A 27,904-nucleotide genomic window follows, 5' to 3' on the forward strand; every position below is an offset into this window, starting at 1 on the left:
GTTGAAGCAGGAGGATCACTTGAGCCCAGAAGGTCAAGGCTGTAGTGAGCCATGATTGTGCCACTGCATTCCAGCCTGGGCAACACAGTGAGACCCTGTCTCAAAAAAAGAAAGAAAAGAAACAAAGAAAAGAATCTAGGGTGGCTGGGGTTACAAAGGTCAAAGGGCTAAAGTTGCAATGGAATTTTGTGTACCATAAACCACAGGGTATGGATGCTGTCACATATATCACCCTTTAGAAGACAATTTTGTGGGGCTGGCTCACACCTGTAATCCCAGGCTGAGGTGGGTGAACTGCTTGACATCAGGAGTTGGAGACCAGCCTGGGCAACATAGTGAAACCCTGTCTCTATTTAAAAAAAAAAAAAAGAAGAAGAAGACAATTTTACCTAAACACAATTAAAGTCTAGGCCAGGTGTGGTGGCTCACGCCTGTAATCTCAATACTTTGGGAGGCTGAGATGGGGGTATCACTTGAATCCAGGAGTTCAAGACCAGCCTGGGCAATGTAGTGAGACCTCATCTCTAAAATAAATAAAAAATTAGTCAGGCATGGTGGCACAAGCCTGAGGTCCCAGCTACCCAGGAGGCTGAGGTGGGAGGATCACTTGAGCCAAGAAGGTGAGCCAAGATTGTGCCACTGCACTCACTGGGCAACAGAGTGAGACCTTGTCTCAAAAAATTAAATTAACTGGGCCTCGTGGCATGTACCTGTGGTCCCAGCTACTCAGGGGGCTGAGGTGGGAGGATTGCTTGAGCCTGGGAGGCAGAGGTTTCAGTGAGCCAAGATGATGCCATTGCACCCTAGCCTGGGTGACAGAGTGAGACCCTGTCTCAAAAAAATAGATAAAAATTAAATAAAATTTAAAAATCTAGGTTGGGCACAGTGGCTCATGCCTATAATCCCAGGACTTTGGGATGCCGAGACAGGCGGATCACCTGAGGTCAGGAGTTCGAGACCAGCCTGGCCAACATGGAGAAACCCTGTCTCTACTAAAAATACAAAAATTAGCTGGGCGTGGTGGCACATGCCTATAATCCCAGCTACTCGGGAGGCTGAGGCAGGAGAATCGCTTGAGCCTGGGAGGCGGAGGTTGCAGTGAGCTGAGATCACGCCATTGCACTCCAGCTTAGGCGACGGTCTATTATGAGAAACTAAAAATAAAAGGTTGTACTTGTAAAATATTTATTGCTAGACCTAGTTGCAAAAAAAAATTTTTTTTTTTTGAGATGGAGTTTCACTCTTGTTGCCCAGGCTGGAGTGCAATAGCACGATCTTGCCTCACTGCAACCTCTGCCTCCTGGGTTCAAGCGATTCTCCTGCCTCAGCCTCCCAAGTAGCTGGAATTACAGGCATATGCCACCACACCTGGCTAATTTTGTATTTTTAGTAGAGACGGGGTTTCTCCATGTTGGTCAGGCTGGTCTCGAACTCCCGACCTCAGGTGATCTGCCCGCCTTGGCCTCCCAAAGTGCTGGGATTACAGGCGTGAGCCACCGCGCCAGTGCAAAAATGTTTTTTAAAGTAACTTTAATATTATACAAGATTATGACTGTGGAAGGCACCTCACCTTATATTATTTTATATCAAATAATGGCTACATGGAGATGGTAGAGAAAAAAAAGAAAGGGCTAAACTTCCAAAATAAGTTGATTAGGAATATTTCTCAAGAGCTGCCTGACAACTCCTTGTTTGAGAGAGAGGCACTGGTCAGAGGGTGGGATGGATGCTTAGAGCTGGAGTAGGTGGAGGAAGAATGTTTTTTGAACAGAAGCTTTCTAATGGGACAGCATGACTTCAGGTAATTTCTTACAAACAATGTTTTTTCCTCTCACTTCGAGCAGCTCTTAGTGTTCTCATCCCCAGAATACCACAGGCCGAAATAAAGCAAAATATTCCACACTTGAGTTGAGCAAATGGAACAACGCCCTAATTAGTTAAATATGCTTTGGAGAGAAATAACTTTTCTGTTTGTTTTTTAGCCCTAATTAAGTGATGCGGCAAGTGGTGGGATCCAATGCTGAAGAAAGGACCTTTTCTCTGGGGAGTGGAGAAGTTTGCTTCACAGCTGCAGCCTCAGACCCCATGGTTCCTGAAATGAGGAAAGCTGCCTTGTTCAAGGACCTCCCTGCCCTCAACCTTCTGTGGTGAAATGAGGGACATGGGGCAGATGACCTCAGAGATCCAGGCCAGCAGCTCCCTGCCCCCTACTGTGCCCCACCAGACTCTCTCTGCTAAGTCAGAATCACAACTGGGATTTCAATTACCGTGGAATTGTTTTTACTTTATTCTAACCATCTTATCTTGGCTTTAAAAAGAGTAATTTTAAAAACTTGTTTCATATAAAAAATCCTAGAACTGGCCGGGCACGGTGGCTCACGCCTGTAATACTAGCATTTTGGGAGGCCGAGGTGGGCGGATCACCTGAGGTCGGGAGTTCGAGACCAGCCTGACCAACAGGCTGGAGATGGAGAGTAGAGATGGAGAAACCCCGTCTCTACTAAAATTACAAAATTTGCCAGGCGTGGTGGCACATGCCTGTAATCCCAGCTACTCGGGAGGCGGAGGCAAGAGAATCACTTGAACCTGGGAGGCAGAGGTAGGGGTGAGCCAAGATTGCGCAATTGCACTTTAGCATGGGCAACAACAGCAAAATTCTATCTAAAAAAAAAAAAAATCCTAGAACCATTTTTTACTTGCCTTTTCTATTTTTGTATTTTTTAAAGTTCTGAAATAAATATTAAATACTGCAAATTGCAGTCATCAGACATAGCAAAGTGGACAGTGACAAAAAAATGAAAAAGAAAAAGAAAAGAATATATTCATGATTACCTGATATTTCTTTCTTTCTTTTTTTTTTCATAGATATGTAATCTTGCTCTGTGGCCCAGGCTGGAGTGCAATGGCATGATCTCGGCTCACTGCAACTTCTGTCTCCCAGGTTCAAGCAATTCCCCTGCCTCAGCCTCCCAAGTAGCTGGGATTACAGGTGTGATCCACCGTGCACAGCTACCTGATATTTCTTAATAACTGTTTTAAAGTAATTTATTTCTTGGAATTCTTTATTATATTAGAGCATTCTGTAATTACTGTTCATATAATTTGTATTTAAGTGTAGTAGAGAACATTGGTAAATCATAATTGCCTTTTTTTTTTTTTTTTTGAGACAGGGTCTCACTCTGTTGACCAGGCCAGGTGGAGTGAAGTGGTATAATCACAGCTCAGTGAAGCCTCAACCTCCTAGGTTCAAGCAATCCTCCCACCTCAGCCTCCCAAGTAGCTGGGAGTACAGGCATGTGCTAATGCCTGGCTAACTTTTTGTATTTTTTTGTAGAGATGGGGCCTCGCTATGTTGCCCAGGCTGGTTTCAAATGCCTAGGCTCAAGCCATCTACCTGCTTCAGTCTCCTAAAGTGCTGGGATTACAGGCATGAGCCACTGTACCCAGCCTATAATTGCCTTTTACCCTACCCAGATGTATTTGCATATTTTCTTCACATATGTTGTACTTGGTCTTTATTCTGAACAGGTACAAACATATTCTGCATAAAATAGCATGGTTAAGTTATGAATATACTTAACCATAATTTCGGAAAACCTTGTAAATCTATTTATAGCTTTAAATTTTCAATATAAGAATTTCAGGGAGGCCGGGCACTGTGGCTCACGCCTGTAATCCCAGCACTTTGGGAGGCTGAGGTGAGTGGATCACCTGAGGTCAGGAGTTCAAGATCAGCCTGGCCAACATGGCGAAACCCCGCCTCTTCTAAAAATGCAAAAATTAGCCAGGCGTGGTGGCGGGCACCTGTAATCCCAGCTACTCAGGAGGCTGAGGCAGGAGAATCACTTGAACCCGGGAGGTGGAGGTTGCAGTGAACCGAGATCACACCATTGCACTCCAGCTTGGGCAACAAGAGCAAAACTCTATCTCAAAAAAAAAAAAAATTTAAGGGAACACTGTCCAATTGGTATTCATTTAGAAGAGTTGCCAACACAAACTTACAAATGCAAAGTGGAAGCAACTATATGCAGATTTAAATTAATGGGCATAATGAGTGTGTGTTAGGACTAATTCTTTGCAAAGAATCTTGGAAAAGAAAACACTATAAAAGCTGCTCTACTTTATAGTCTGGTAGTTAAAAATCCTGTCCTTTCACAGCTGCAGCCTGGGTTCAATAATTCTTGGTCTGGGTAGTCCCTTTACAAAGGATAAAACTAAGGCCAGGTTCGGTGGCTCAAGCCTGTAATCCCAGCTACTTAGGAGGCTGAGGCATGAGAATTGCTTGAACCCAGGAGGCGGAGGGTGCAGTGAGCCAAGATAGTGTCACCGCACTCCAGCCTGGGTGACAGAGTGAGAATATCTCAAAAAAAAAAAAAAAAAAAAAAAAGAATAAAATTTAAGGCCAGTTGCATGCAGTGGCTCCTGCCTGTAATCCCAGCACTTTGGGAAGCTGAGGTGGGAGGATTAGCGTGAAGCCAGGAGTTCAAGACCAGCCCAGGCAACACAGCGAGCTATCATGGTGCCAGTGCACCGCAGCCTGGGTGACAGACGAGACTCCATCTCAACAACAACAGCAAAATAATACAACTTAACACTATGGAGGTAAATTTAAAGCAAATAGTTTTTGGATGTGCACGGTGGCTCACGCCTGTAAATCCTAGCACTTTGGAAGGCCGAGGTAGGAAGATCACTTGAGGTCAGGAGTTCAAAACCAGCCTAGCCAACATGGCGAAACTCCGTCTCTACCAAAAATACAAACAAATTAGCCGGGCATGGTGGTGGGTGCCTGTAATCCCAGCTACTCAGGAGGCTGAGGCAGGAGAATTGCTTCAGCCTGGGAGGCAGAGGTTGCAGTGAGCTGAGATCATGCCACTGCACTACAGTCTGGGTGACATAGCGAGATTCCGTATCAAAAAATAAATAAAATAAAATAAAATAAATAAAAATAAAGCAAATAGCTTCTGAGGAAAAATCAGAGTTTTCCAGGTTTCCACTGGCAAAGAACTGACTCTCTTTTCACAACTTTCCCTGCTCAAGGACAGTGGGAAGAATCACAGAGAGGAAAGGTGGGGGCCAGGTGAGGTGGCTTGTGCCTATAATCCCAGCACTTTGGGAGGCCAAGGTGGGCGGATCACTTGAGATCAGGAGTTCGAGACCAGCCTGGCCAACATGGTAAAACCCCATCTCTACTAAAAATATAAAAATTAGGCCGGGCATGGTGGCTCACGCCTGTAATCCCAGCATTTTGGTGGGCGAGGTGGGCAGATCACGAGGTCAGGAGTTCGAGACCATCCTGGCCAACATGGTGAAACCCAGTCCCTACTAAAAATACAAAAATTAGCTGGGCGTGGAGGCACATGCCTGTAATCCCGGTTACTCAGGAGGCTGAGGCAGTAGAATCACTTGAACCCGGGAGGCGGAGGTTGCAGTGAGCCAAGATCGCGCCACTGCACTCCAGCCTGACGACAGAGCTAGACTCCATCTCAAAAACAAAAACAAAAACTTGGCTGGGTGTCGTGGTGTGCACCTGTAATCCTAGCTACTCGGGAGGCTGAAGCTAGAGAATTACATGAGTCTGGGAGGTGGAGGTTGCAGTGAGCCGAGATCGCGCCACTGCACTCTAGCCTGGGGACAGAGCGAGACTCCATCTCAAAAAAAAAAAGAAAGAAGGCTGGGCGCAGTGGCTCACGCCTGTATCCCAGCACTTCGGGAGGCCGAGGTAGGCGGATCACCTGAGATCAGGAGTTCAAGACCAGCCTGGCCAACATGGTGAAACCCTGTCTCTACTAAAAATACAAAAAAATTTAACCAAGTGTGGTAGTGGGCGCCTGTAATCCCAGCTACTGGGGAGGCTGAGGCAGGAGAATTGCTTGAATCCGGGAGGTGGAGGTTGAAATGAGCCGAGATTGTGCCATTGCACTCCAGCCTGGGCAACAAGAGCAGAGAGCATTAGAATCCTTTAATAAAGAGCACAAACTTGCCTTTAAAGCAGAAGATCAGGGTAAAAAAGACAATGGGCTAGAAATTGGCAACATTTACACAATAAAGAAAGATCTGTATTCTAGCAAGCTTCTTTCTTTTTAAAAAGTTACTACAGGGGCCCGACGCAGTGGCTTGTGCCTGTAATCCCAGCACTTTGGGAGGCCGGGGCGGGCAGATCACGAGGTCAGGAGATCAAGACCATCCTGGCTAACATGGTGAAACCCTGTCTTTACTAAAACTACAAAAAATTAGCCGGGTGTGGTGGCAGGCACCTGTAGTCCCAGCTACTCGGGAGGCTGAGGCAGGAGAATGGCGTGAACCCGGGAGGTGGAGCTTGCAGTGAGCTGAGATAGCGCCACTGCACTCCAGCCTGGGTGACAGAGCGAGACTGCCTCAAAAAAAAAAAAAGTTATTATAGGTATTACTGTAAAAATTAATTAAAGTATGCTGTTTTAAGGTAGCTATTTTAATTTTTAAAATCTGTGAATGGTTTTTTTCAGCATATACAAACCATTTTAACCCTCAAAAGGAGAAAAGTTTATGTATAAAAAAAGAAAAGATGGTGGAAAGTTCAAATCCAATTGTTAGTAAACACTACTACTAGCTAGGTGGAATTTTCATTCTTTCTATGTTTATTTAAATTTTCCATAATGAAAACATTGTTTGCAATTGAAGTAAGGGTTACTTAAAAGGAAGAAAGTAAATTAAAAAAAAATTTTAGAGATGAAGTCTCATTCTGTCGCCCAGGCTAGAGTACAGTGGCATGATCCTAGCTTACAATAGCCTGGGCTCAAGCAATCTTTCTGCCTCAGCCACCAGAGTAGCTGGGATTACAGGCATGAACACCTGGTGGAAGAAAGCAAACTTTTAAAAAACATTTAAGAAAAAATGAGCTGGCCATGGTGGCGACTGCCTGCTGGTTCAAGCTACTTGGGAGGCTGAGTGGGAGGATCACTTGAGCCCAGGAGGTCAAGGCTGCAGTGAGCTGTGATCACACCACTGCACTCTAGCCTGAGTGCAGACAGAGATAGACTCTGTCTCAAAAATAATACAAATAAATAAATAACATAAATAAGGAGGGGAAGTCCAGGCTGGGTGGGGTGGCTCATGCCTGTGATCCCAACCCTGGGAGGCAGTAGGAGGGGGATCGCTTAAGCCCCGGACCTCACGACCAGCCTAGGCAACAAAGTGAGACCCTGTCTCTACAAAAGATAAAAAATTTAGCTGGTGTGGTGGTGCATGCCTGTGGCCCCAGCTACTCAGAAGGCTGAGGCAGGAGGATCACTTGAGCCCAGGAGCCCGAAGCTGCAGTGAGTTATATACTCCAGCCTGGGTGACAGAGTGAGACTCAAGAAAAAAGAAAGCAAGAAAGCAAGCAAGGAAGTAAGGAAGAAAATAAAGAAAGGGAGAAAGAGAAAGAAAGAAAGAGAAAGAGAAAGAGAGAAAGAGAGAGAGAAAGAGAAAGAGAGAAAGAGAAAGAGAGAAAGAGAGAGAGAAAGAAAGAAAGGAAGGAAAGAAGGAAGGAAGGAAGGGAAAGAAAGAAGAAAGGGAAGGAATGAAGGGAGGGAGGGAGGGAGGGAAGGAAATTCATAATCATTATGCAGAAAGCTCATTCGAACTTCAGGTAAAGCACCTGCCACACTTTGAGTCTGGATCATGTGCTTGAGGCAGTCAAGTCAAAATTGCAGAGTGTTTTGAGAAATGAATAAATTCCTCTGAAGCAAGAAACTGCTAAACTCAAGTCAAAATCCCTTCTCAGTTCCACATTAAAGGAGACCAAAGAGTCATGACAATTAAATGAAATGCATGACTGCAGGTGGGGAGGGAGGGAAATCATCATAAAGGACATTGGCAAATTTTAATATTGCCTATATAATAATATTGTGACAATACAAAATTTCCTGAGTTTGATCATTGCACTGTGGAACACGAATGTTCTCATTTTTCGGAAGTACAGGTAAAAGGTCAAAATGTCTGCAACTTAATCTCAAGTGGTTGGGGGAAAGTTAAAGCAAGATATGGCAAAATGTTAATAATCTGGTGAAGGGTATACGAGAATTCTTTATACTATTCTTGCAATTCTTGTTTTCAAAATAAAAAGCTGACGTGGCCAGGCGCAGTGGCTCACGCCTGTAATCCTAGAACTTTGAGAGGACAAGGCAGGCAGATCGCTTCAGCCCAGGAGCTCGAGATCAGCCTGGGTAACATGGCAAAACCCTGTCTCTACAAAAAATACCAAAAAAAAAGAAAAAAAAATTAGCTGGGAGGAGGACCACATGAGCCTGGGGAGGCTGAGGTTGCAGTGAGCTGTGATTACACCACTGCACTCCAGCCAGGGTGACAGAGTGAGACCCTGTCTCAAACAACAACAACAACAAAAGTTAATGCACACCTTCTCAAAGCCTCTCCCATCCCACAACTAGTTGAGCACATTGGTGGCACTACTACATCCAATGTAAAGAAATTCCTTCACCTGCAAACTTTAAACTCAAGAACTTTTCTAAGGACTGGTGCAGTGGCTCATGCCTATAATTCCAGCATTTTGGGAGGCTGAGGCAGGTGGATCACTTGAGCTCAGGAGTTCAAGACCAGCCTGGCCAACATGGTGAAACCCCGTCTCTACTAAAAATACAAAAAATTAGCCAGGCGTGGTAGCATGCACCTGCAATCCCAGCTACTGGGGAGGCTGAGGCTCGAGAATCGTTTGAACCCAGGAAGCGGAGGTTGCAGTGAGCCAAGATCACACCACTGCACTCCAGCCTGGGCGAAAGAGCAAGTTTCACTGCAACCTCTGCCTCCTGGGTTCAAGTGATTCTCTTGCCTCAGCTTCCCCAGGAGCTGAGACTGCAGGTGCATGCCACCACACCCGGCTAATTTTTTGTATTTTTAGTAGAGACGGGGTTTCACCACGTTGGCCAGGCTGGTCTCAAACTCCTGACGCCAAGTGATCCACCCGCCTCGGCCTCCCAAAATGCTGGGATTACAGGATTACAGGCATGAGCCACCATGCCCAGCAGAAAGACCTTTTCTTTTCTTTTCTTTTTTTTTTTTGAGACGGAGTCTTGCTCTTGTTGCCCAGGCTGGAGCGCAATGGAGTGATCTTGGCTCACTGCAACCTCCACCTCCCGAGTTCAAGAGATTCTCCTGCCTCAGCCTCCCTAGTAGCTAGGATTACAGGCGCCTGCCACCACGCCCAGCTAATTTTTTTTTGTATTTTTAGTAGAGATGGGGTTTCACTATGTTGGTCAGGCTGGTCTCAAATTCCTGACCTCAGGCCATCCACCTGCCTCAGCCTCCCAAAGTGCTGAGATTACAGACTTGAGCCACCACGCCCAGCTAGAAAGAACTTTTCTAAGCATAAGATAACCCTTCAGAGTGAAGCCTCGCCAGCATCCAACTCCAGCAAATGTCATTGGAGCAGTGGTTTTCTAGCCTGGCTTCAAATGCAGAATCACAAAACCTAAGACCTGGGACCCTTTAAATCAGACTCTCTGCAGGTATTCTAGCTCCAGCCAGGGTGGAAAACCTCTATGACAGCTGATGTACTATTGAGAATCTCTACCTAGATTGGAAAGGTGGATTGTAGGTGCAAAGTAATACCATTGAAAAGTCCTCTATTCACGTGCTTGCCACTTACAAACTTATGTGGTATCACCTTAAGTAAAATCAGCCTTTAAGAAAGATCAAATAGGCATCTAAGCTATAGTTGTTAAAAAAAAAAAAAAGAAGAAGAAAAGAAAAGGAAGAAAGGAAAAAAAAAATAACCAAGTAGGCATCTGATGCTTCAGTGAGAAGCTGTAGACCTCTTGCTAGCTTCCCATCCCAGATTTAGGGAGACTCTTGCCCTATTTTAACATTAATATTCTAGAGAGAGCAAATAATCTCCAGGAAGGTGCATTGGTGTCCAGCCTCCTAAGCACCTCTCTCTATATATTTGCAATTAAGGGCCCATGGTTCAGCCGGGCAAGGCCTCACTCTGTTGGGATGTTCTTCATGGCCACCAGCAGAGGGAGCCACACACCCAGCCAATGGCCGCAGCTGCACCCAAGGACTAGGACATGGAAACAGGTGGAAATGCTGAAATCACCCGGATGAGCGAGCGCACTGAGATTGGATCACAGCTCTATCACATCATGATCTGATTACTTATTTCCCACTGGACTGTGAGCTCGGACCATGTCTAATTTATCTTCTGTCTCCTGAGTCTTGCACAGCATCCGGCACACAGTAGCGCTTGGCAAATATTAACTGTGGTTGCTATTTCGGGCATCTGACAAATGAATATTCACCAGACCTGGCCAGATGTTAGCATTCGCTAGGATTGTCAAGAGGCTGAGATGCTCTTCCTCCCTCCCGAGATCCCTCACAAGGTATTTTCTGCATCCCAGGCCAATGAGACACTTTTTTTCCCAGAACACCCTTCCATCATAGAGACCCCTACAATTAGATCCTGAGAAATTCATCCCCCATCGGCATCCTCCCCATCTTTTCCCCAATCCACAAAACATCTGTCTCCCTGCAGGCAAGGCCTCAGGCCCCTCACCAGCCCCGACCTGGAGTGGACCCACAAGTCCCCCAGCCCAGACAGCTGGGTTAGAGACTCACACGCCGGCTGGCACCAGTGGCTGGAACTTCCACTGCTCCTCCTCACAGTCCAGGAAAAGCCGGTTCATGATCTTGTTCTTCTCCTCCGGCGGGATGAAGTTCTCGATGATTAGGTACCTGGGAGCAGGAATGAAGGAGTGATGGGAAAATGGGTGAGCGAGAGACCACGTGGTGCATGTGAGGGTTGAAGGATTAGAAGCAACAAGCCAAGAGGCAGAGGGGGCTGGGCACGGTGGCTCACGCCTGTAATCCCAGCACTTTGGGAGACCAAGGCGGGCGGATCACGAGGTCAGGAGATCAAGACCATCCTGGCTAACACAGTGAAACACCATTTCCGTCTCTACTAAAAATACAAAAAAAAATTAGCTGGGCGTGGTGGTGGGTGCCTGTAGTCCCAAGCTACTCAGGAGGCTGAGGCAGGAGAATGGCATGAACCTGGGAGGCAGAGCTTGCAGTAAGCTTAGATCACACCACTGCACTCCAGCCTGGGCGACAGAGTGAGACTCCGTCTCAAAAAAAAATAAGTTAATTAATTATTTATTTATTTTAAAAAAAGAGGCAGAGGCAATGTGGAGGTGGGGAAAATCAAGAAGTTAAGGGGAAAGGATCCCTACAGAAATACTGCAGCTTGAAAAATCACTGCTTCTAACAGGTACACAAAATTAGAAAAATGAATAAATACTTTTATTTGATAGCACAATAGGGTGACTATAGTCAATAACTTAATTGTATATATATGTGTGTGTGTGTGTGTGTGTGTGTATATATATATATATTTTTTTTTTTTTGAGACAGTTTTGCACTTGTTGCTCAGGCTGGAGTGCAATGGCACGATCTCAGCTCACTGCAACCTCCACCTCCTGGGTTCAAGTGATTCTCCTGCCTCAGCCTCCTGAGTAGCTGGGATTACAGGCACATGCCACCATGCCTGGCTAATTTTTGTATTTTTAGTAGAGATGGGGTTTCACCACGTTGGCCAGGCTGGTCTCAAACTCCCGACCTCAGGTGATCCACCTGCCTCAGCCTCCCAAAGTGCTGGGATTACAGGTATAAGCCAGCAAATTGTATATTTTAAAATAACTTAAAGAGTGTAACTGGATTATTGTAACTTGAAGGATAAATGTTTGAGGGGATGGATACCCCATTCTCCATGATGTGCTTAGTTCACATTGCACACCTGTATCAAAACATCTCATGTGGCCAGGCGAGGTGGCTCATGCCTGTAATCCCAGCCCTTTGGGAGGCCGAGGAGGACGGATCACCTGAGGTCAGGAGTTTGAGACCACCCTGGCCAACATGGCGAAACTCCATCTCTACTAAAAATGCAAACATTAGTCAGGTGTGGTGGTGGGCGCCTGTAGTCCCAGCTACTCAGGAGGCTGAGGCAGGAGGACCGCTTGAACTTGGGAGGTGGAGGCTGCAGTGAGCCAAGACTGCACCACTGCACTCCAGGGTGGATGATAGAGCAATATTCCATCTCCAAAAAAAAAAAATCTAATGTATCCCATCAATATTAATATATGCAACTACTATATACACACATTTTTTAAAATAATTTTTAAAACAAATTTAAAAATAATTTTTTTTTTTGAGACAGAGTCTTGCTCTGTCGCCCAGGCTGGAGTGCAGTGGCTCCATCTCAGCTCACTGCAAGCTCTGCCTCCCAGGTTCACACCATTCTCCTGCCTCAGCCTCCCAAGTAGCTGGGACTACAGGCGCCCGCCACCACTCTCGGCTAATTTTTTATATTTTTAGTAGAGGCGGAGTTTCTCCGTGTTAGCCAGGATAGTCTCGATCTCCTGACCTCGTGATCCACCTGCCTCAGCCTCCCAAAGTGCTGGGATTACAGGCATGAGCCACTGCGCCCGGCCTTTTTTGTTTTTGTTTTTTTTTTTTTTTTGAGACGTTGTCTCGCTCTGTCGCCCAGGCTGGATTGCAGTGGCATGATCTCGGCTCACTGCCACCTCCACCTCCCAGGTTCAAGCAATTCTGCCTCAGCCTCCTGAGTAGCTGGGATTACAAGTGCGCGCCACCATGCCCGGCTAATTTTTGTATTTTTAGTAGAGATGGGGTTTCACCATGTTGATCAGGCTGGTCTCAAACTCCTGACCTCAGGTGATCCACCTGCCTCGGCTCCCAAAGTGCTGGGATTACAGGCATGAGCCACTGCGCCCGGCCCTAAAAATAATTTTTAAAAAATTTAAAATCACTGATTCTTATGCAAAGATGGTAGCCTCAGGGCCTTCGGAGTTACTTTTGGCCAGCACCTAGCGTCCATTTTGAGGGGTTCATCAAATACAGGCAGAGGAGGTAGAAGAAACTCCAGCACGTGGGCCCATCCCTCAGCCCTCAGACGCATTTTATTCCTAAAGGACTCATGGGAGAGGAGACAGTCAGGATGAGGCCTTAGGGGAGGAGAGGCCTGAGTAATGATGGCTGGCTGTGGGGACCCGGGATGAAAAGAGCTGCGGGCCCTACTTGAGCTTGAGTTCGCGGGTCTGCTCGTTCTGCGCCTCCTCCAGGTCCTGCCGCACGCGGATATACTCATCATGCTGGTCCTGGATCTCCGCCTTCACCGCCTGCAGCTTGGCGTAGAGCTGGGTGGGGACAGGTGCCACTCAGAGGCTGCTTGGTGTGGCAACGAGGCCCCAGTCACCCAGCCTGGGCCGCAGGGCTGCAGGCTCAGAGTCTACCGACTCAGCCCAGGATGAGGCTGCGGGTCCTTTTCTGAACTCCCCGCTGTGCCCAACCCACCACGAATTGGGCTGGGCTATTTAAAGTGGTGCCCCGCCCTCCTTCACTGAGGCCTGTGACCATTGTCTGCTCTTTCTCAGCTGCTATCAGCATCGTGGAATGTTCAAACGGGAGGGGACCCCAGGGACCTTTTGGTCCAATACCCTCCTTTCATAGATGAGGAAGCCAGGCACAGACTTGCTCAAGGTCACACAACCAGCCAATAGAAGAGCCGGAACTAGGACCCGGGGCTTATTTGGAGACCCAGCTCAGGAAGCAGGAAGCCTGAACGAGTTTGGAAGGTGACCCCTCCCACTCCAGTCTCTTCAGGGGCTCTCAAAAGTGGGGTGTGGAGGTAGCATGGCCATCCTGCTCCTCTCCAAAGCCACTGAGGGCTGGGTCCGTGGTAACTGCCACAGTGGCAGTGCCTCTGCCAGGCCTGCCCCTGGGCAGCCACATCACCCACCCCGAAGGGCCTCCAGGTTTTTCCCAGAATCCAAGCTAGAGCTTTGCTGCTTCCTGCCCTAGACCCCCCTCACATGTACATGTCTTTCCCTTGCCACGGGCTTTGCAGGGTTCTGGTGAGCGGCTATTCTCATCCCTTGACATGTCCTTGAGGGCCTTACACTCCCCACCTGAGCTTCCCGGGGTTCCAGTCTCCTCCTCAGCCTCTCTGTATTCCCCTGGCCCTGCTCCAGGCCCAGCTATCCCAACTGTGACTCACTGGTGACACTGAACGGGGTAATCACCCAGGACCATGAAGATGGTAACGCTGGATACTGCAAGTGACAGAGTTTGCAGCCTGTCATAGCCCACCCTGGCCCAGGAGAAAAGGCTCTACTCCACCCCCAGCCCCCGCCTCCTGCCTCCCCCTGTTGCTCACCCCCGAGGCCAAGCCATGTCACTCAGGGGTTCAGCAGTTCCAGCCAAATGGGGAGGAGTCCCTGAAGCACACATCCCTTGGGCAGAGACTGCTGGGCCTCCAGCACACCTTAACCGGTCCTGCTGCAGCGTCTCACCTTCTTGAGTTTCTTGGTTTTGACCTCCACCTCCTGCTGCAGGGATGTGTAGGTGCCCCGGAGCTCCATAGTCTCCTCGTCCCGGAGCATCATCTCCTGCTGCATCTCCCGCTCACGACGTTTCTAGGCCAAGGACGGGCAGTGTGGCTCAAAGGAGCAGTGCATACTCGGGAGGGCCAGGAAAGCTCAGGGGACTGGCTCACTCTGCCTGTCTCGGGACCTGGCTTCACCATGGCCCATGGCCCACATCCACTGCTCCCACCCAATCCTGCAGAGCCCCTGGGAACCCTCCTCTCAGTTCCCAGGGCCATGCCTTTGCCAGGCTCTGCCCCATGTGGATGGAGACCCCAGCCCCTAAGAGCTGGCCTACTCCAGAGGCGTTAGTCACACAGATGGAGGCACATCACACTGCCTTCCAAGCTGCCTCACCCTCTCCCCAAGTAGTATAATGGTTGATTGGTAAGACCAACAAACTGTGGCTCTTGATGATTTAGGGAAACAGTCATACAGTTGGCAAAGAACTCACACCACCTTGTGGAAGGCCCAGGAATTAGTACCAGGTGGCTTGTGGAGGCTGATGTTATGGAGAGCTATCACGTCCTCTCGCCCACCAGCTAGCAGTGCCCCTGCCAAAGGGAAGACCCTGGGCTAGTAGACCTGTGGGACCCAGGGTGGCATGTCTGAGATTCTCAGCACTGTAATTCCAGAGATCCAGAGTCCACCATGGTTTACGGCCCTGCACCTCCCAGACATGAGCTGCAGGCCACACTCTCCAAGGGGACCTGGCACCTGGAGGCCCTACCTGCTCGGCAATCTCCTGCCTCTTCAGTTCCAACATCTTCTGCTGTTCGTTGGTGTGATCCATGATGTTCCTGCCCCCGATGAGGAGCTTGCTCTCCATGGCCTGGGGACACAGAGGGGTTGGGAGGTGGGCTTTGCAAAGGGTCCACAACATTGCTAGCTGGAGAGATTTTGCTTCCCTGCTCTGTGGTCCTTCTGGGAGTGGACACCAGATGTGTCCCAGATGGGGCCTTGTGGCTTTCAGGGAGAATGGAGTTTTCCCCTCTAGTGTCTCAGGTCCCAGCACAAGGCTCTTATTGTCAGCAGGAACACTAGGGAGGCACAGAGGGTGCCCCTCGGGGAATCTAGGGCAACTGGTCTGTTTGCTTTGGGTACACAGGAAAGGTTGGTCCACCAGGGCTAGGAGGAGGATGGGGGTGGCAACCTAATCCTGGCAACCAGGACCCAGCTGGTGTTGAGGATTGGGAAAGATAAGATACAGTCACCAGGTAGCCCAGCCTTTAGCTAACTGGCTTCCAACTCAGGAAGACAGCTCTCAACACAGGCAGCAGGAAAGGGTCTAAATCTTCAGCTGATGTGGAAAGCAGAAGAAAAGCCAAAGGGAGCAGACTGCACAGCAAGAAGGAACAGCACGGGCCCAGCACAGCAGGAGCTTTGGAGAGGGCCGGGAAGACTTGGTTCTACCCACTTACCTCGAGGCTTTGGGCAAATTAATCCCTTCAGGTCTGTCATCTACAATATTGGAACACCGCCTATGTTCCAGGATGGCTGGCAAACATTTGTGGAGCGCTAAGTATCTATTAGATGCTGAGCTAAGCCTTTAACACCATGGTTTCCATCCCCCCCTAAGAGGGACTATTCTCCTCCGCATTTAATAAATGAAGACATTGAGAATGACCAGCCTAAGGCCATGCAGCTATTGAGTAGCAAAGAGGAGAGATTTGAACCTCGTACCCCCAGTCTCACTCTGTGAAAGCCCCTAGTCAGTGCTTTGGAATCTGAAGCTGAAATAATGTCAGATTTGTGTAAACTGTGACTACATAAAATGTATTTTCAAGAGGGTGCTGTCGGCAGCCTTTCAAAACCTATTCTGGTTTGGGGGGGTGCCCGATTTGAAATTTTAGAAAATGAAAATAAAATAAGAAGAAGGTGCTGTCCCAGGGTACCCAGTTGTCCTCTGGCTTCATCACGGGCCTCCTGGAAGGTTGAAATCACCTTGAACCAGTGGAAAAAGCTGGCTGCTTCTCCACTGGAATTTTTCCCAGTGGAAACAGCTGACCTACCTGAGGGATCTCAAAGCAGGGGGTGCTGTCAGACTTGGGGAGCAGGAGACCACCTGTAAGAGCCACATCATTGGGAACACAGCCAGACAGGGGTTAACAGTGGCTTTTGGGAGGTCAAGGAATGGGCTGTGTGAGGCTTTGTCACCCAAAGACGCTGAGCAAGTTGGGCCCGCCAGAGAGGCACGAGCTTCATTCCAGCCCCACACAGCCTCAGAGGCCAAGGCAGGAGGAAGAGGCCTTGAGCCCTGGAGGCTGTCCATGCTGCCACACTGCAGCCGCCTGCGCTCCTGGTTAATGATCTCCCCTCTTACCGCATTGCCTTGCCACAGACCTAAACCCATCCTAGGCTCCTCCTTCACACTCCAGGTCAGCATTTGCAGGACCATGAGAGGGAAGAATCCCTTACACTGCATCCTCAGCGACTCACCTGCCTCGCCTCATCCCTGCCCTGCCTCTCATCCGTTGCATCTGGCCAGTGAGTCAAGGCCATCAAATCTGCTCCTCAGTGCGGCTCCCACCACCCCCCATTTTTCATTCTCACTGCTACCTGCTGGCTTCATTGCAGCCCCCACAACTCTCCTGGACCACTGCTGTGGTCTCCCCACTGCCTCAGTGTCCCCTTCCACCCCTCTGCCACATGACACCCAGGCAGATCCACTAAAAACACAACCCTGGGCTGGGGACGGTGGCTCATGCCCGTAATCCCAGCACTTTGGGAAGTTGAGGTGGGCGGATCATCTGAGGTCAGGAGTTCGATACCAGCCTGGCCAAAATGGAGAAACCCCAGCTCTACTAAAAAGACAAAAATTAGCTGGGTGTGGTGGCGTGCACCTGTAGTCCTAGATACTCAGGAGGCTGAGGCAGGAGAATCGGTTGAACTAGGGAGGCAGAGGCTGCAGTGAGCCGAGATCACGCCACTGCACTCCAGCCTGGGTGCCAGAGTGAGACTTCATCACAAAAAACAAAAAACAAAAAACAGCACAACTCTGAATGCTTGCTCCTTGGCTTCAAACTACTGAATGGACCTCCATTCCTTACAGGATGAAATCCAAGGTCAGCTGCAGTGACAGGCCCCGGGAGCTGGCCTGGCCTCCCGGTTCCTCTTACTATTCATGCTCTGCGTATGCTCTGTACTCCAGCCTCACCAAGAGAATTCCAGCTCCCTGGGGGCCCGGTGCGGTGGCTAGCGCCTGTAATCCCGGCACTTTGGGAGGCCAAGGCAGGCGGATCACCTGAGGTTGGGAGTTCGAGACCAGTCTGACCAACATGGAGAAACCCCATCTCTACTAAAAATACAAAATTAGCTGGGCATAATGGCACATGCCTGTAATCCCAGCTACTCAGGAGGCTGAGGCAGGAGAATCGCTTGAACACGGGAGGCGGAGGTTGTGGTGAGCCGAGATCACGCCATTGTACTCCAGCCTGGGCAACAAGAGCAAAACTCCGTCTCAAAAAAGAAAAAAAAGAATTCCAGCTCCCTCAATGGGCCATGGCATTTCACAAGCACCTGGGTTCCTCCTCCCACTCCACATCTAACTGGAAAACTGCCACTTTTTCTGCAAGACACACCTTGACCATTGGGAAATTTTCCCTGATCCCCTTGAAATTGCTCTTTCGGGCCCCCTCAGTAACCAGGCCATATTCCTACTATTTCTCATAATAGAATAATTATTCATTTACATGCTGTCCCCCCTGTGAGCTCCCTCATGGCAGCAGTCATATCTTACTCATATCTCTGGGTCCCTGGACTTAGCTCAGTGCTTGGCAGATAACAAGTGCTCAATACGTATTTGATGAACCAAACAGAATCCTTGGGGGTTGTCCCAGAGTGGGTTCCAGGTCCCTTCCTTGGGCTCTCTTTTTTTTCTGCAGTGGCGCGATCTTGGCTCACTGCAACCTTCACCTGCCACGTTCAAGCGATTCTCCTGCCTCAGCCTCCCACGTAGCTGAGACTACAGGCACATGCCACCACACCCAGCTAATTTTTCTATTTTTAGTAGAGATGGGGTTTTGCCGTGTTGGCCAGGCTGGTCTCGAACTCCTGACCTCAAGTGATCCGCCTGCCTCAGCCTCCCAAAGTGCTGGGATTACAGGTGTGAGCCACTGCACCCGGCCACCTTGGGCTCTCTTTATCCCAGTTTCTCCTCCCATTCATCAATCCACACTCACTGTCATGGGGCCCGATCATCTGGGGAACCTGGCAGGAGGGGTGGGGTGGGTGTGAGAGAAAAGAGAAGAACCACATGGAGGAGGCCCCTACTGTTGTGGACCATGGATACCTGATCCCCTAACTACTGGGTCACAGGTCTTCAGGAGCCTGCTGTCTGGCCTGGCCTCTGAATCTGGGACACGCTTGTCCATTTCAACCCTGAGACCCTTCATTTTCCCCAGCATTTTATGTGGCTCTAGCATTCTTTATTCTTTATAATCAAAAGACACTTGCTCTCAAATATCACTGCATGTTAGAAACACCTGGGGAGATTTTGTAACACTCCAGAGCCAGGTGTGGTGGCTTATGCCTGTGGTCCCCATTGTTTGGGAGGCTGAGGCAGGAGGATCGCTTGAGCCCAGGGGTTCAAGATCAGCTTGGGCAACATAGCAACGCCCTATCTCAAAAATAAATAAGCAAATCAAATAAGAAATTCAGACCTAGTGAATTGAGATCCATATTGTACTGAGATTCCCAGGTAATTTGGATGCACATAAATGTCTGAAAAGGACTGGTGTAAGGGGCATGCATATTATTAGCACTATCATTTTTCCAGTGAAAGCTCACAGAGGTTATATAACCCATCCAAGGTCACATGATGGCCCCCTCAGTAACCAGGCCATATTCCTACTATTTCTCATGATAGAATCATTATTCGTTTACATGCTCTCTCGCCTGTAAGCTCCCTTAGGACAGCAATCATATCTTACTCGTATCTCAGGGTCCCTGGACTTAGCACACTGCTTGGCAGATAACCATCTGTGAGCTTTCACTGGAAAAATGATAGTTATATGCCTCTCATTAAATTTAAATGGAGATCCAGCTGAGCAGGATGGCTTATGCCTGTAATTGCAGCACTTTGGGAGGCTGAAGTGGGCAGATCCCTTGAGTCCAGGAGTTCAAGACCAGCCCAAGTAACATGGCAAAACCCGTCTCTATAAAAAATATAAAAATGGGTCAGGCATGGTGGTGTGGGCCTGTGGTCCCAGCTACTCGCAAGGCTGTGGCAGGCGGATCACTTGAGCCTGGGAGGTTGAGGCTGCAGTGAGCTGAGATTGCGCCAATGCACTTTAGCTTGGGCAACAGTGAGACCCTGTCTCAAAAAAAGAAAGAGAATTAAAAACAAAAAACTTAAATGGAGACCTGGCCTAGGCCTGCCTGGCTCCAAAGCCCAAGCTCTTCCTATTGCAGGGGCTGTGGTGACTCCTTTAGGAAGCAGAACCTGCTAAAGGAAATCAACATGTTTCCGGCAAGAGGAAATGGTGTCTGACTAATCTCTGAGAGTTCTTTCAGAATGGGACGGAATAGGTTATTACAGCACATGGGGAAGCCAATGACCAGAACTCTGGAGGTTAAAGCACTCCTGGCAAGGCTGCACATCAGAGGTTATTCAAAGTTACATGGGGAGTGAAGAGATGGAGAAAGGGGAAGTGAACTAGGGAAAGGAAACAGAAATAAACAGGTATTTCTCTGGATGGAAAGCACTCAAGTGTGAAACAACAGGACTAATCTCTGAAGCTGTGCAAGAAGGAGTGCATGGGTGAAATACCCAACTTCACAGACACCCCCAAATCCTCCTAGGTGGTAAAGTACAACAGAATTTCTAGCCTATGTGAGCTGACAAAAAATGGCAGATGAGCATCAATTACAATTTTACATTTTGGGGAAAAGGAATCCTAACTCTACTAATTAAATGATAGCCATGGGCAATCAATTATAAGCCCTAAAAAGGGGAGGAGGAGGAGGAGTAACACTCCACTGTTCCCAGAAGACACTGGCTGAATATGCTGCCACAGCTAAAAAAGTCAGTAGCATCTGCCCAGGCACCATCATGAAGGCTTTTTAGAAACAAAACATTGTACCCTCATATAAAACCATGATGTGGCTGAATTGGGAGTACTGTGTGTAGTTCTCTTACTGCATCTCCAGAGACATAAAGCAGAGAGAAGATCAAGAGAAGGGAGGCTTAGGCCGGGCGCAGTGGCTCAAGCCTGTAATCCCAGCACTTTGGGAGGCCGAGGCAGGAGAATCGCTTGAACCCGAGGCGGAGGTTGCAGTGAGCTGAAATCGTGCCACTGCACTCCTGCCTGGGTAACAGAATGAGACTCCATCTCAAAAAAAAAAAAAAAAGACTCTGTTCTGAAAAGACAAAGAAAAGTTAAGAGGATAAGTCTGGAAATGAAACAATCAAAACTGGGGATGAAAAGGAAAGATCCAGGCTTTTCCAATCCATCCTGGCACATAGAGTAAGAGCTCACGTCTTGAGGTTTGACAGCAGCAGTTTTTAGGACAAACGAAAAGGAGTTTTACTGTTTATAGAAGGTAATACATTTACGAAATTTGTTACTTCAAGAGTTAACCCTGGAGGAAATACCAGTCTATTAAAGAATTCTGGGGACACGTTTTTAACCCTTTATTGTCTTTCTCTCCTTTCAGAAAAAAAGAATTGCACAAACATCAAAATCACCAAAGAAATAAAATGACAAATGCCACATATTCCCTACCATGGCTACTTGGTTTCTTTCATTTTCCCTGGTTTTTTTTTGTTTGTTTTTGTTTTTTTGAGACGGAGTTTCGCTCTTGTTGCCCAGGCTGGAGTGCAATGGCACGATCTCGGCTCACGCAACCTCCACCTCCTGGGTTCAAATGAGTCTCCTGTCTCAGCCTTCCAAGTAGCTGGGATTACAGGCGCGCACCACCACACCCGGCTAATTTTGTAGTTTTGTAGAGACAGGGTTTCTCCATGTTGGTCAGGCTGGTCTTGAACTCCCGACCTATGGTGATCCACCCACCTCAGCCTCCCAAAGTGCTGGGATTACAGGCATGAGCCACTGTGCCTGGCCCTTTTTTCACCTCTATGGACATAGTATAAACACAAGCTTATGTCTTGCTATTTCCACTTTACCTAATATATATATAATATAATATATATATAAAATATATGTTATATATATAATATATATTATATAATATATAATATATATAATATATAAAATATATAAAATATATAATATATAATATAATATATAATATATATAATATATAAAATATATATAATATAAAATATATATAATATATAATATATATAATATATAATACATATAATATATAATATATAATATATAATATATATAATATATAATATATAATATATAATATATATAATATATAATATATAATATATATAATATATAATATATAATATATAATATATAAATATATAAATATATATACACACATACACACACATATATGCATATATATACATATACATGTGTACATAGATACATGTATATGTATATATATGCATATATGTGTGTGTGTGTATGTATGTGTGTGTGTATATATATATATATATATATATTTTTTTTTTTTTTTTTTTTTTTTTTAAAGATAGAGTCTCACTCTGTCACCCAGGCTGGAGTGCAGTGGTGCACTCTCAGCTCACTGAAACCTCCCGCCTCCCAGGTTCAAATGATTCTTCTGCCTTGGCCTCCTGAGTAGCTGGGACCACAGGCACCCACCACCACGCCTGGCTAATTTTTGTATTTTATTGTAGAGACAGGGTTTTGCCATGTTGCCCAGGCTGGCTCAAGGGATCCACCTGCCTCAGCCTCTCAAAGTGCTGTGATCACAGGTGTGAGCCACCACTCCCAGCCTAATTTTTTGCTTTTTTAGGTGACTTTCTTAGAAAGGAATTTCAGAAGAGGACAAAGGGTTATAAACATTTTGTGTATCTTGGAACATATTGTCAATTATCATTCTAATGACTTAAACTACTGCCAGCAGTAAATAATGGAACCATTTTTATTACAGCATCATAGGCATGAAGTATTATTATTATTATTATTATTATTATTATTATTATTATTATTTTGAGACAGAGTCTCACTTCGTTGCCCAGGCTAGAGTGCAGTGGCGTGATCTCGGCTCACTGCAACCTCTGCCTCCCAGGTTCAAGCGACTCTCCTGCCTCAGCCTCCTGAGTAGCTGGGATTACAGATGTGTACCACCACACCTGGCTAATTTTTGTATTTTTAGTAGAGATGGGGTTTCACTATGTTGGCCAGGCTGGTCTCAAACTGCTGACCTTGTGATCCGCCCACCTCAGCATCCCAAAGTGCTGGGATTACAGGCGTGAGCCACCATCCCTGGCTCCGCATGAAGTATTATTATTTTAAAAATTTGTTATGGCTAGGCACAGTGGCTCATACCTGTAATCCCAACACTTTCGGAGACCTAGGCAGGTGCATCATTTGAGGCCAGGAGTTTGAGACTAGCCTGGCCAACATGGCAAAATCTCATCTCTACTAAAAAGACAGAAATTAGCTGGGCATGGTGGCGTGCACCTGGAATCCCAGCTACTCAGGAGGCTGAGGCACAAGAATCGCCAGAGGTTACAGTGAGCTGAGATAGCACCACTGTACTCTAGCCTGGGCCACAGAGCAAGACTCTGTCTCAAAAATAAAATAAATAAAATAAAATAAAAATAAACATTTGTTATAATAATAGATATAAAATCGAGCCTCTGCATTCATTTTATATTCTCCATACCTTTAAGGTGGTCTTTGTGGAGGCCTGAGCTTTCCTTTCCCAACATACTCTATATTGTGTTTTTAAAAACTTTTTGGTGATTTTTCTTTTTCCATTAGAGACGGGGTCTTGCTCTGTTGCCCAGGCTGGAATGTAGTGGCATGATCAGAGCTCACTGCAGCCTCCAGCTCCTGGGCTCAAAAGATCTTCCCACCTCAGCCTTCTGAGTAGCTGGAACTACAGGCATGTGCCAGCATGCCGGCTAATTTTTTTGGTGATTTTCAAGTGAAGAGATGGACCTCAGATTCAAAATGAAATTTTTTGTTTATTCAGCCTCCACCTTCCCCAGCTATCCACACCTAGGCCCAAGTCCTTCTCACTCAAAGGCTACCAACTCACCCAGTTCTTGAAGCCACCTGGACACTATCAGGCATAATTTGAGCTGCCAGTCAGGCCTGGGGTCTGATGCATTAGCCAAGCATGACTGCTGAGTCCCCAAGTCCCAGCCCTCCTTCCTCCCTCTTCCCCATTACAGGAGTCTCAAGACCAGCTCCTGGGCTGGTTTCTGCTCATCTGCTTCCGCGTTGGATCTCCTCTGTGGACCTAGAACTCTGCTTCACAATCTCTCCTGCGGGCTGGGCCCTGGGCTCCATAAAGAGAATCCTGGACGATGACTAACTGGCCACTATCACTCCACCCGTCTGTCCAATGCCCCTGTGTTTCTCTGCCAGCCCTGCCGGGACCCAGCACAGACGTGGTCTGAATGTCAACTGAATTTGCCTTATCAGTCACTGGCCAAGTCTTGCCCACTTGCTCAAACCCACACTCTCAGCCAAGCCTGGCTGACAGACCAGTCTTGTGCTGGGAAGATGGGGTTGGCTCTGGCATGAAATCTGTGGGTGGGCCTCAGTCCAGGTGCAGGGTCTCTGCTCCCTCCTTCTCCCCAGTCTCACCCCAAGCTGTCTGCTTCACTCCCATGCTCGGAAATATGTCATGCATGAGATTCCTTTCTTGGCTTAGAAATAGATTTTTTTCCTTTACTTTTTTATTTCCACATTTGTCTGAGGATACCAGTGGCCATCTCCTCCTTTCTCTCAGAGATCTTGAGCCTTTTCTTTTCTTTTGAGACACGGGATCTCGCTCTGTTGTCCAGGCTGGAGTGCAGTGGTTCACTGCAGCCTGGATGTTCCAGACTCAAGAGATCCTCCCACCTAAGCCTCCCAAATAGCCGCATGAGCCACCACACCCGACTAATTTTTTTAGAGATCTCTATCCTTAACCATCACCTATGAGGATAGGGAGGGACAGGGATGCCTGAAATCCCTGAGCCTAATTCAGTCTAGAATATACCAAGCAGAGGACATGAGAATGTGGAGTTCCTAGTCTTCAAGAGAACTTCCCTGAAGCTCTCAGCCATTCCAGTCAATGCTTCTTTTGTAATATTTCAGAGCAAAAGACTATAGGTGGGTGGGCCTGGGGACAGGATTGGGTTTGGTTCTGCTGATTCTAAACAAGTCCAGTGTAACTAAAAGGCCAGCACAGGCTGTGGGGGTGGAAAAGACAGGGCTGGGAGCTCCAGGGCACCATAGTCTCTCACTTGAGAGATGGATATGAAGGGCAGGGTAACCAAGGGGACTTTGGGAATCATCAACCCCAACCCCCATGCTTTATAGATGGGAAACAAAGGCCTAGAAGTGGAGTCCTTGAAGCCTGAGTCTCCTAATTAAGGAATCTGTCTAGATGCTCTTTTTTTTTTTTTAAGACAGTCTCATTTTGTCACCCAGGCTGGAGTGCAGAGGCACAATCTCGGCTCACTGCAACCTCTGCCTCCTGGATTCAAGCAATTCTCCTGCCTCAGCCTCCTAAGTAACTGGAACTACAGGTGCCTGCCACCACGCCCAGCTAGCTTTTGCATTTTTAGTAGAGATGGGGTTTCACCATGTTGGCCAGGCTGGTCTCGAACTCCTGACCTTAAGTGATCCACCCACCTTGACCTTCCAAAGTGCTGGGATTACAGGCGTGAGCCACCACGCCCCACCTGTCTAGCTGCTCTTATATTGACTATGTGCTTTCCAAATAACTTCCCAATTTGACTAAGGCTCTGATTCCAGGTATCAGAGGCAGGTCAGCTGCTGTGACAACAGCCAGGTCACTACAGGGACAATGCCAGCTTGTAGACACAGCCGGGGATACTCAGAGACTCACCTTTAACTATTCCAGGAGCAAATGGAGTGCAAAACCAGAGCGGGGAGAAAGGAGGCCCCAGTACTCATAAAGCACTGACGTGGAAAGCTAGAATGGAGACAGCCAGGCCCAGCCAGCCACTCTTCTGGAAAGATAGCATCAAGTATGATTTTACAAGGACAGAGAAGCCAAACAGGCTCTGCCCTGCCACTGCCACCTATCTGTGACATTCCGCAGGAGACAGGAGTCTCAGATGCAACTGGCCATGTGCCTCAACTGGGTTAACTCCTTTTTACCTTAATCGTCCTATCTGATGCTCACAAGAACCTTATGAGATAATGGTTATGATCCCCATTTGACATAAAAGAAAACTAAGGCCCAGACAGGCGAAGTGATTTGCTCAAGGTTTGGAGCCAGTAAATGGCAGAGTGATATTTGACCACCACCGCCCTAACTCCAAGCCCAATGTCCTTTTCTCTGTTCCATGGCTTTCTTCCAGGTTCAGACAGGAAAGCACCTTGGAGAGAAGCAGCATTTGGTATTTGTACCTTTGCCAACTCAGGAACCATCAGGAAAGCTCAGAGCCTCCTTGCTTTCTCTTTTGGCTGAAATAGGCAGGGCTCTGCTGCTGCTGCTTCTGCCTGTGTGAGAGTCTTATGGGGGTCTCTGAGATAAGTGGGTTAGAGCTCTTAACTGTGTGCTGGCAGGGAGGTTGTCAGGATCCCTAGAGTCCCAGAGAGAGGCTAAAAACTCTGGGAAAATATTTGTGGGAAGGGCCCCTGCACAAGTTCTGTGGTGGAATGATATAAAGGTGGCTGGGTGTGGGAGTCAGGGTGCTCCAGTCGGGCTACACACTCTGCCACTCTCTTTGCTACAAAACCTAGCTCTTCAGCCCTTTGGACTTCCACTTTCTCATCTGTAAAATGGGGAGAATACCTGCTACCTTTCAGGCCTTGGGTAAGAACAGCAAGTTGGGCTGGGTGCAGAGGCTCACGCCTGTAATCCCAGCACTTTGGGAGGCTGAAGCAGGCAGATCACTTGACCCCAGGAGTTCAAGACCAGCCTGGGCAACATAGTGAGACCCCATCTCTACAAAACATTTATTTTAAAAATTAGCCAGGCGTAGTATTGTGTGCCTGTAGTTCCATCTCTGTAATCTCATCTACTTGGGAAGCTGAGATGAAAGGATTCCTTGAGCCCGGGAGGTGGAGGCTGTAGTGAGCTGAGATTGCACTACTGCATTCCTGCCTAGGTGACAGAGTGAGACCCTGTCTCAAAAAACAAAACAAAACAAAAAACAGAAACAAAACAAAACAACCAGCGAGTTTGAGAATAGATGTGAAAGTGTTGGTAAGTGATAAATTACACCCAAATGGTAGTCGTTACTCGCTGTTTCGGTATCTCATTGGTATTTTACCCACCACTTGCCACAAAAAGCAAAACCAAAACAACAATCTCAACAGACCCCGCTTCCATCTCTTAGAAAATATAGCCACCCCTTCCCTCACAGACCTATTTCTCCTTTTCCAGCGCCCTGATTGTACATCTTGAGGAGTCAGCAGTAAGGGAAGAAGAAATGAAAGAGACAATGGGGAGGGGATGAAGAGTACCATTTTCAGATGAATAATGCTATTTTCAATGATATCCTTCCCTGGGAGACAAAAATCAGGAGACTGAGTCTGAGTCTCCGCCTTGGATGGCTCAAAACACAACAAAAATGACGAATGGTTCAAGTGCTAGGAATTTCCTTATCAAGAAGAAAGAACAATTTGAGATCAGGAAACTATTGGCCAAGGGATGAGGCGAGCTGGACTCCAGTACCAGCCTTAAACTGAACAAGGCAAGGATGCCCAGAAGTGCCTCAGCTCACCTTGAAAAAAAGCAGGAAGGAAACTAATCAGCCCTTCTACTTTAGTGAAAAAACCATGAGCCCCTCAGATCAATGCTTATCTTCACCTTTCCGCCCTATTTCCCTTGCTTATTTGTGACTTTCTAGAGGGTTTCTCTTCAGCAAATCCAGACAACAGAATGTTCCAGTGTCAGAACTGGATGAACCTAAGGATATATATAGTGTAGTCTGAGCAGTTTACAGATCAGGTGCGGGGCCCAGAGGGGTTAGGTTCGTGGTCCTGGGTCACACAGCCTCTAGGCTCCCAGTCAAGGCTGGGTCATTCCTCTCTGTCCTTCACTGTCCTTCACTCAGGCTGGTTTCTAACCCTGGCCTGCTTCCAAGGTGAATCAGCAAATGGTACAGAAAGCAAGGAATCATCTTTTTTTTTTTTTTCTTTTTTGAGACAGAGTCTTGCTCTGTCACCCAGGCTGGAGTGCAGTGGCGTGATCTCGGCTCACCGCAACATCCGCCTTCCGGGTTCAAGTGATTCTCCTGCCTCAGCCTCCTGAGTAGCTAGAATTACAGGCGTGTGCCACCACACCCAGCTAATTTTTGCATTTTTAGTAGAGACAGGGTTTCGCCACGTTGGTCAGGCTGGTCTCGAACTCCTGACCTCAGGTGATCTGCCTGCTTTGGCCTCCCAAAGTGCTGGGATTACAGGCGT

General features: G+C 47.5%; 1 protein-coding gene across 2 annotated transcripts in view; it reads right to left on the minus strand.

Moving 5' to 3' along the window:
* KIF3C (kinesin family member 3C) overlaps window positions 1–27,904 on the minus strand; it is a 55,900-nt gene that overhangs the window by 14,604 nt on the left and 13,392 nt on the right. For both annotated transcript variants that reach the window (XM_005264299.4, NM_002254.8), the window contains exons 2-5: window positions 15,142–15,243; window positions 14,340–14,462; window positions 13,066–13,184; window positions 10,588–10,704 (exon numbers count right to left, since the gene is read on the minus strand). In XM_005264299.4, coding sequence (XP_005264356.2) covers window positions 10,588–10,704; window positions 13,066–13,184; window positions 14,340–14,462; window positions 15,142–15,243 — 461 coding nt within the window. The remainder of the gene's footprint in view (window positions 1–10,587; window positions 10,705–13,065; window positions 13,185–14,339; window positions 14,463–15,141; window positions 15,244–27,904) is intronic.

Source organism: Homo sapiens, chromosome 2 (genome assembly GCF_000001405.40).
Source record: "Homo sapiens chromosome 2, GRCh38.p14 Primary Assembly".
NCBI lineage: Eukaryota > Metazoa > Chordata > Mammalia > Primates > Hominidae > Homo > Homo sapiens.